The sequence below is a fragment of the Homo sapiens genome, chromosome 3 (assembly GCF_000001405.40).
Source record: "Homo sapiens chromosome 3, GRCh38.p14 Primary Assembly".
In the NCBI taxonomy this organism is placed as follows: domain Eukaryota; kingdom Metazoa; phylum Chordata; class Mammalia; order Primates; family Hominidae; genus Homo; species Homo sapiens.
In genome coordinates this window covers 161,494,885-161,504,591 of record NC_000003.12, presented here as the reverse complement: position 1 = coordinate 161,504,591, position 9,707 = coordinate 161,494,885, and the positions used below count along the sequence as shown (strand labels likewise).

The following is a 9,707-nucleotide window of genomic DNA, read 5'->3' as shown; positions in this document are numbered from 1 at the left end:
ACATTCAGTTCTTCTAAGCACAATAATTTGATGAATGATTTCATCTTCACTATGATCATCAACTTTTTCTTACATTTTACCCAATACACAAGTCCATATAATATAAGTTTTCTAAGCAAACCTTTACACACTGATAAATTTTAAATATCCTTTAGCTAGTCTTTGCCACCCTTTCTGTGTCATCTCCATGAATTAAACTAACATGAGAATAGCTCCATTTTGTCAGAAGGCAACCCACCCAAGAGAGTCAAAAACTTGCTGTCATACTCTGCAATTCACACAGAAAGAAGTGACACACATTGATCTGAGATATAGAAGATATTTAGCAAGAATACATTTATTAATTATAAATCCCATTCATACTTTGTATACAAATATTAATTATTATGCTTAAATGGAATGACTAATGCTAATAATGCCAAATTTTAAAAGCTACCTACAAAGTTAATAGACATATGCTCTGAAATACATATAAATATTTTTAAAGGAGGTGCCTTAAAATAGGAATAATAATTGACTAGGTGACTTTTTAAATTTTTCTGTATTATTTTTATAATCTTGAAAAAATGGAAGTTATTTTTTAATAGCACTACTCTGTGTTAACTGACTTATTCCACTGAATCTAAACTACAGGATTCAGGACACAAATTTATGGTGAAATTCCAGAAGTTTCCTCTGGGTACAAAAGGAACCCAGTAAAAATGCTGTCATCCTCAGCACTGACATACACCCCATTCCAATCTTTTGACACCTCAAGCCAGACTTGGTCTCCTGCACTTAATTTCAAGATGACGAGGAGAGAGGCCTGGTCTATTTCCTGACCATAGAGAGTTTCTCTGGACTTGAACTGCTTCTTATTCTGGGCCACCAGACTGATTCGAGCAGGTCGCCCCCTCACCGTAATATGGTAGGAAAAAACATATGTCCCAGGAATAGAGCAGTTAAACTTCCCAGTGACAGGACTGTAATTCCCTTGGTCATTATAGAGAATCTTTTCAAATTTGATGGGGATGTTAGGAGGAGGAAATGGCTTTGACAAACCAGCGCTGAAAGCCGACCGGGGCACTCTAGCCAACTCACCCTTGGAGCCTTTAAAGCCCCGAGAGCCCTTCTTCCCAGTGGGGCCTCGGACCCCTTTGTTGCCAATGTCACCCTTCGGCCCAGTAGGTCCCAGGAGACCAGGAGGACCTAACTCTCCTTTTTCTCCTTTAATCCCTGGATCACCTTTGGCCCCAGGCAGACCATTACGGCCGCTTTTGCCTTCCATTCCACTGTCTCCTTTGCTACCTTTTTCCCCTTTCATACCCCCCTCACCTTTCTGTCCTTTTCCTCCCCTCTCCCCAGAATCTCCACAGCAGCCCTTATCCCCCATCTCCCCCTTCTCCCCCATCTCCCCCTTCTCTCCCTTGGCGCCAGGCCCTCCGTGCAGGCCAGGTGAGCCCATAGCCCCTTGGTCTCCTTTTTCTCCTTTGGTACAATTCCCACATGTGTCTCCCTTGGAGCCTTTTTGTCCTTTCACTCCTCCCAAACCAATGTTTCCTTTATCTCCCTTAGGGCCAGGTTCACCTGAAATGGAAAATTAAAATAATGTTTAAGGATCACATAGGCCATAAACAGCATGCTATTACCACAGAGCTCAAAAAAGTAGAAACAAACCTACTAATTAGGAAACCTGATTCTTTCCTCAGTAAAAACTGTGCACACTTAGGAGGCTCTGACAATGAATAATTTATATTATGCCATGCTCTTAGAAGGGGAATAGTTAATGTTTCCAAGAAACAGTGGCTTATATTCAGATGCCATATATCTAATTCTTTTTGTTTTTTCACTTTTAAGATAATAAAGAATATTAGGACTGTAGTTGTTCGTTGTATTCCATTACCCTTTGCATTTTGGCCTAACCCAGGTATTCCCCTAAATCCCCATATTGTCCATTCAAGCCTAAATTATTATTGGCAAGGAAACTGAGACCCAGAACGAGTGAGGGATTTTTATTTTCCATTGACAGCTAGAGAGAGAAGCAGAGCACAGATACTATTACCTGGTCTCCAAATTCCTAGACTGGTTCTCCTTCACTGAGTCAGTACACTGAATTATTAGAAGAATAACAGTAATTTGTATTTTCAGCTTACCTCTCTGATAATTTTAAATACAAGCAGGAAGAGAATGAAGGGCTATACTGCGCACCTGACTGTACACAGTAGATACATTTCATGCTCTACCTTGTGCTCCCGGTTTTCCTGGGTATCCTGGAACTCCTTGGTCCCCACGTTCTCCTTTGAGTCCTAAGATGATACCAAGATTAACTTTTTACCAACTACATCATTTATGATATATTTAATATTCCTCTCACAACCATGTCACATTCTAGTGTTTTCTTTAACCAAAATGGGCTAAAGTTAAATCGTGTGGAAAAAGAATGTACGCCAGGCACGGCGGCTCACTCCTATAATCCCAACACTGTGGGAGGCCGAGGCGGGTGGATCACCTGAGGTCAGGAGTTCCAGGCCAGCCTGGCCAACATGGTGAAACCCCATCTCTACAAAAAATACAAAAAATTAGCCGGGTTTGGTGGTGCACACCTGTAGTCCCAGCTACTTGGGAGGCTGAGGCACAAGAATTGCTTGAACTCAGGAGGTGGAGATTGCAGTAAGCTGAGATCACACCGCTGCACTTTAGCCTGGGTGACAGAGTGAGACTTGGTCAAAAAAAATGTATTGAGGGTCATTAGGAATAATTAATTTCAACTGGTAAACTATTTTAGCGATCTGGAGGCAGTGATCCCTTCAAACAGAATTCATCTTTGCCCTCAGCATTTCCATGGCTCTTCAAACCTCTCATAAAACTCATGACATTCTGCTTGTATTATATATATATGTATTCATGTTTTTCCCAATATGAATTTTGAATAAAGTTAAAATGCCTTCTTTATATGGCCACAACACCTGAGAAATAATGCCATGTTCCCTACAAGTTTAAACAGAGTGCACAACATCCTGTAGTTGGCTAAAACCAATGATAAGAAAAAAAAGTCCGGGAAAAAAAACTGTTCTTTATATAGAGTATCTATGTAAGTATAGAACTGTAGGAATTCATAGTTGAAAAAAATGAAAACATCTGGATTTTCAGATATTTGTCATATTACCATAAAATATATTTTTATATTGGGCCTAACAGCCCATACTATTATAGTTCAGTCACACTGAATTGATTTCAACTATAAATTACCATAACAATAATAATGGTATTAATAATATCTCACTCTTATTACACATTTACTTTGCACAGATACTGTTCAAAGCTCTTACCTTTTTTTTACTTAATCCAGCCTTTTTATTTAATATAATTTTTACTTGACATTAACACAGCCTCTTCTATAGCACACAGGTTCATATAGCAGAACACATTTAATCAGTTGGAAAATTTCAAATTCACAAAAGTTTATAGCACCTGCCCTTCAAGAAAAGTAGGGAAGATATTTTTGTCATCATTTTATCAACAAAAGAAGCTGAGATATGAAAAAATTTAAAGCACTGGACAGAGTCAAATACAACTACATATAACATTGGTTGGCATCAATTTGCTACCTATATTGTTTATGATATAACTAACATCTTTTGTTTTATTTTTGTGAGGGAAAAAATAAATCCTAAGCCAAATTAAAAGTGGTGAGAATAGACTCCCTCCAGTTTCACAAGATCAACTAGAGAAATCCCACCATAGGTCATTTAGCAGAGTTTTCTAAGTTGCTAGCTACCCCAACACCACTCCGCATGAAATGCAAAATTTGGAAATTAAACCTTAGGCCATCAGGAAAATAACTGGACGCATTTTGAGAAACCCAGCCCTAAATGGAAGGGAAGAGCCGATTGTATTCCTAGCCTTTGCCAATACTCAAATACCAACCTTCACCACACAGAGTTATACTGCTTCTTGAATTCCTCGAAAGAGTTTAATTGCTTCCCCTAATTTACTCAACCAGGTAATGATTAACTAGAATGGAATCATTCAACTCATTTTTTTTTCTAACTTTCTATCTTAACCAAGAGTCCAAGCTAAGTCTGGAAGTGAAAGGAAAGTAGAGTTGCTACTTTATAAAGAATGGCTGAATGAATTTCTACTTTTGATCCTTCATCAAAGTGTATTCTTAAGAACCTTATTTTATTACACTTCCCTATTTTTTTCTTCTATTTCCAGAAGTCTAGCTTCCAAAATGTATGAATCACTGGGGAGGTTCATCACTCATCTTTATTTCACAAGGTTTTCTGCTAACATAATTCAGGCACAAAAGGATTAAATGTTTCCAAGAATGAAAATCACATAACTGACAAGTGTGAAGTAGCTCTCTCTTCCCTTAGCATTTTTTTGAGTAATTACTTCACTGAATGTTCTACCAGAAATGAGTTAGGCAGTTCCTGAGCCATGTGGAGGGTGATATATAGATGGTATTAGGCCTTTTGACATGTGACACTGAGGCTAAAACATTTAACTTGATGGATAGATGGTATTTCTACAGGCTGCTGGTATTCACTGAGGAATTTCTAAATATCCTAGTGAATCTGTAGCCTTCCTTCAGTACCTTTAAGCACTTACAGAACCAGGGATTTCCTGGGGCAGAAAGCCTTCTTTACTGATACACCTATGGAATTACAGAATTTCTGAGCTTGAAAAGAGCTATAAAGCCACTCATAACTACAAATCTTCTTCGATAGTAAACAAGATATAAATAAATATCTAGTTCATTTCCTTCAATTTCCAGGTGAAAGAAAATGACTTGCCCAATGTCATTATTATAAGCTTGATTACTTCTGTTTTAATTAAGTTGTCTTCCCACCACTGACACTGCCTCTGATTTCAGAGTGAGCCAAGGGATATATTAAATTCTTCTTAGCAGGCATACTATCCACCTAAACTGAATATTCAGAGAATTGCCTGCTCTAGTTAGTTCCATCTAATACAAAATTATTTGCATCCAAAGGAAGTAGGCTAACATGAGCATGTACAGGAAGGGTATCTCTATACCCTTCCCCAGAGACTATACTCTGTGGCTGCTTGTCACTAGGTCAGCTAGGTGACCAATGAGAGATGGAAAAGCTGTGTGACAATCTGTGTGCCTGCATGCATGTGTGCAGTGTTCCCAGGTAAGTTTAAAATTTCTCAATTGGCTGTTTATAAAGTTAACATATTTATATCAAATATAATGTGCTTTATCAAGTATTTACATTTTTAAAATTGACTCATCTGCAAGAATCTAGTCTTTAAGTAGCAAATTGCTCTCCTGAAAAATGATGCAGAATGTCCCTTGAGTTTTGACATGAATGAATTACCTACCTTTCTCTCCTTTGTAGCCTCTAGGGCCTTGGGGCCCAACAACTCCTGGTGGCCCTGGGATCCCCAAATTTCCAGCCTCTCCTTTAGGACCTAGAAATGGGATTTTAAATACATCAGAATATAAAATTTCTCTTTTAAAGTTCATTAGTTCAGGAAAGAAAAAAAGCATTTTACTGCAATCAATAAGTATCAATGACCTAATGGTAAAATCTGAGTAAGAATAAACCACACAGAGTCCTAAGGGCAATATTTTTGTCTGATTTGCAATTTCGTACTACCTGAATAGATAAATTGAGACCATTAGTACTTGTCACTGTATTCATGGCAGTGATCAAATGATTCAGGGAAGCAGCACTATATCAAACAAGAACAAAATGATAATCTGACACTTAACCTCATATGGACCACACTTTCACATTGGAAGTAAAAACAACACCTAGCACCTTTGGATTTCCCTTTTATTCACTTACTCATTCATTCATTAACTATTTCTGAGGCATCCTATACACCAAGCACCCTGCAAGGTGTTAGGAATGCAGCCATCAACATTCCAGCAGTCCCTACTCTCATGAAGCTGAGAGTCTATGAAAGATAAACATTTAACAAATAGCCACACAAATACGTAGAAATTGTCACATTGTAGTAAATGATATAAAGAAAAATACGAAGGTCTTATTGAGGACTTAACTGATGAGATCAGAGGCTTCCTTGAGAAAATGGTATTAAGCTAAGACCCAAAGAATAGATTAAGATTTCCCAAAGCAGAGTAGCTTCCCTAAGTAGGACCAAGATAGTCTCAGCATTCTAAGCTCTCAAGCACTATGCTCTGTGGCAGAACCAGTCAGACTAAGACATATGAGCTCCCCAGGCAGGGTAATAACTTGGCACACCTTGGAATTATTTGTCATATATATTTAGAGGAGAGAATGAACCCTGAGAACAGCACAGCTAAATCCACCACTGGGTAAAACAAAAGCCCTGATGTTACAGAACTCACAGCCTTAGCAAATAGTTTAGCAACCAGCTGTGTCTACTTGACCATGCCCTTGGGATTTTCACCGCCAAGCAGCTTACCAGCCAGATAGGATACTAAGACTTCTGGTAAATATAATTTTCTCAGTCTCATTAAATTTTCAGTAATGTTTTAGCAATCCTGACATCTTGGTACCCAAGCTACGGCCCATCTCCTTTACTCCTTAATGCAGCTCTGCATAAATACTAACCGCATTTCCCAAAAGGTCCCTACAAAGGGATGAAATGAATGAAAAGCTTGGTGAAGATGTATAATTGCTTAGTTTATAACATTAAATTCCTCAGGCAATGGTGAATTTTAAGTTGACATTCTGATCTTAACTTTACCTTGAATTCTCTTCTAGATGACATGTAAAAGCTGAAATGTATTAGAATAAAGCCAAGACTATATTCATTATGTATATATTATAGACATCTGAAATCTTGAAATACATAACCATGGTGTTCAATGGAGAAAATCATTGGGCAATGACACAGTATTGCCTCAGAAATTCAATGAGAAGCAAATGGAATCCTAAGCTTTATTCTCCACCTCAGAGCCATTCCATTTCTAATCCTAACTACAAATAGCACTCAGAAAATCCATCAGTCAGCACACATTCTTGCAAGGCAACAGAAGTTTCATTTACCCTTTTTAAATCAGCCACTAATTTAAAAAATTGTACTGGTAATAAACCTGTGCATCTTGAAGAACCAGAGCACCATGCTGGAGTTGGTAATTCCTGACTTTGCTCTCACCAGCACTGTCCAGTAGAATTGTCTACAATGATGGAAATGCTATCTGTGCTGCCCAATACAGTGGCTGTTGAGCACTTGAACTGTGGCTAATGTGACTGATGAACTGAATTTTTTACCTTATTCAATTTTAATTTTAATATTTATTAATTACCACATTGGGCAACACAGCACCCATTTACATTTGTAACAATGTGACACCTAGACCTGTTACTATTTGCATAACAACGTAGAAACTCCTGGGGCAATTTCACCCGACAACCTACCTCTCAACTCTACCAATGTACAAGTGAGAAACATGACTTCTTATATTTTCTAATACCTGGCTGTCCAGTCTCTCCAGGTTCTCCTTTCTGCCCGGGTACAGGTGAACAACAATCACAACAATTCAAAAAGAAATCAGCTGGGTCAAGAGTGAAGTTTTCAAAGGGAGAGAGAGTGGCAGTGCCAAAGACAGAATCCAAGGCCGAGGGTTTGGTAATTGGTTCTGCCATTTCAGCCATTTCTGTGAAGAGGGTTTCTTCTTCTTCTGGAGGTGGGCCACTGGATGGCTTTAGACCCTTTGGCATCTCTCTTTCCTCAGATTTCTTCGTAAATTTGGTATGTGGTGTGGTCTTTGCTATTGTGTTCATACCAGCAATAGCCAAAATAATTAAAATAGCACAAAGCCAAGAAAACATCCACATATTTGAAGCTGGAAGAAAGATATAATAGGAAAATATATACATATTATGTGAGGTCCAAATGAAAAGACTAAGTCATATAAACATATACTCATATAAAAGAAATATATATGTATATGAATCATAAGAATGAATGATATGCATAATATAGAATGATATATTTTCAATATATTTTACATGTAAATGTGTACTTGAATCACTACAGAATATTTTATGTACTTATTTATTATAAAGAACACTTTACTTCCATTCATCTTTCTGGTTATTTTCTTAGTATTATATATTGTTCCCAACTATTCAAACTATCTGGCCAAATAGCAAACATGATCTACAATAAATACAACATGACTCAATAGCTCATATACCCTGTGGAAGATAAATGTGTATAATTTCCTCACTGATTTCACTCAGATTTATAGAAATCAAATACATTTGTATTAGAGGGAGATGAAAAATATTGAACTGAGTAGTTTATTCCAGCAAACTCAATTATTTCAAGAAAAAATATGGTGAAATAGTCCTTAAATCTACTAAGGATAATGGTCCTGTTGTGAGAGCAATTTTTTAAAATCTATTTTAATAAGTGAAGAGAGAGACAATTAAAAATAATAAATTTGAATATATGCTACATTCTTAGATTCTTCACATGGCATTTAACTCTCCACCTCTTTGCTTTGTAATTTGGGGAGTTTTTCTAGAAATTCATGTTTATTCTTGTATTATTTTAATGGGGCAAAATGTGGTTATTCTAAAAAGAGCTTTGGCAATGTCCAAAGTGATATGATGTAAGGTTTCTAATGAGGTGAAATTTTGATAGTTCAGAGTATTCCATTCCAAATCAACTCCCAGTAGTCTAAGGGGTGCTAACAGATAGCCAGGGTTATAAATCCACATTTCCTGATAGGAGAAGGCAGCCATAATTAAGATAAATAGTAAGAGAGTAAATAGAATGGAAATAAAGAGATTAAAAAGGTCTACTGTTTATACAGTCCCTACTCTGAGTAGATGCCGTACATTAATCAATCCAATCAGGTCTCACAACAGCTCTCCATTCCCCCTTGAGAACTGGAACATGACGATGATGCTCTCTCTCACCACTCCTATTCAACATAGTACTGAAAGTGCTAGCCAGAGCAATCAGACAAGAGAAAGAAATAAATGGCATTCAAATAGGAAAAGAAGAAGTCAAACTCTCTCTCTTTGCAGAAAATATTATTCTATACCTAGAAAACCCTAAAGACTGCCAAAATTCTCCTGGGACTGATAAATAATTTCAGCAAAGTTTCAGGAAAGAAGGTCAATGTACAAAAACGAGTAGAATTTCTGTACACCAATAACATTCAAGCTGGGAGTCAAATCAAGATTGTAATTCCATTTACAATGGCCACGAAAAAAAATACCTAAGAGTACATCTAAGGAAGGAAGTAAGAGATCTGGAGAACTACAAGAAGAACTACAAAACACTGCTGAAAGAAGTCAGACATGACACAAATAAATGAAAAAACATTCCATGCTCATGGATTAGAAGAATCAATATTGTTAAAGTGGTCATACTGCCCAAAGCAATTGATAGATGCAACACTATTCCTTTCAATCTATCAATGTCACTTTTCATATGACTAGAAAAAACTACTCTAAAATTCATGTGGGTCCAGAAAAAGAGCCCTAATAGCCAAAGCAATCCTAAGCAAAAAGAACAAAGCCAAAGGCATCACATTACCTGATTTCAAACTATACTGTAAGGCTACGATAACCAAAACAGCAAGGTACTGGTACAAAAACAGACACATAGACCAGTGGAACAGGATAGAGTATCTAGAAATAAAGCCACACAACTATGACCATCTGATCTTTGATAAAGTCAACAAAAATAAGCGATGCAGAAAGGACTCCCTATTCAGTAAATTGTCCTGTGATAGCTGGCTA

The 9,707-nt window shown here is 37.2% G+C and overlaps 1 protein-coding gene across 1 annotated transcript; it reads right to left on the bottom strand.

The window, feature by feature from the left end:
- Window positions 1–649: 649 nt before the first annotated feature.
- Window positions 650–7,784, bottom strand: OTOL1 (otolin 1). Its single transcript, NM_001080440.1, has 4 exons — window positions 7,421–7,784; window positions 5,332–5,421; window positions 2,223–2,285; window positions 650–1,566 (listed from the first exon to the last, which is right to left on the bottom strand). Exons 1-4 carry the CDS (start codon window positions 7,782–7,784, stop codon window positions 650–652), a joined length of 1,434 nt encoding a protein of 477 aa, NP_001073909.1.
- Between the last annotated feature and the right edge of the window lie 1,923 nt (window positions 7,785–9,707).

Bases quoted from the DNA above. Each gene is read 5' to 3' on its own strand.
- OTOL1 (NM_001080440.1), bottom strand. From the start codon at position 7,784: ATGTGGATGTTTTCTTGGCTTTGTGCTATTTTAATTATTTTGGCTATT. The intron at 5,422-7,420 runs GTATTAGAAAAT...TCCCATTTCTAG, and splicing joins TGGAGAGACTGGACAGCCAG to GTCCTAAAGGAGAGGCTGGA. The intron at 2,286-5,331 runs GTAGGTAATTCA...GTATCATCTTAG, and splicing joins AGGCTACAAAGGAGAGAAAG to GACTCAAAGGAGAACGTGGG.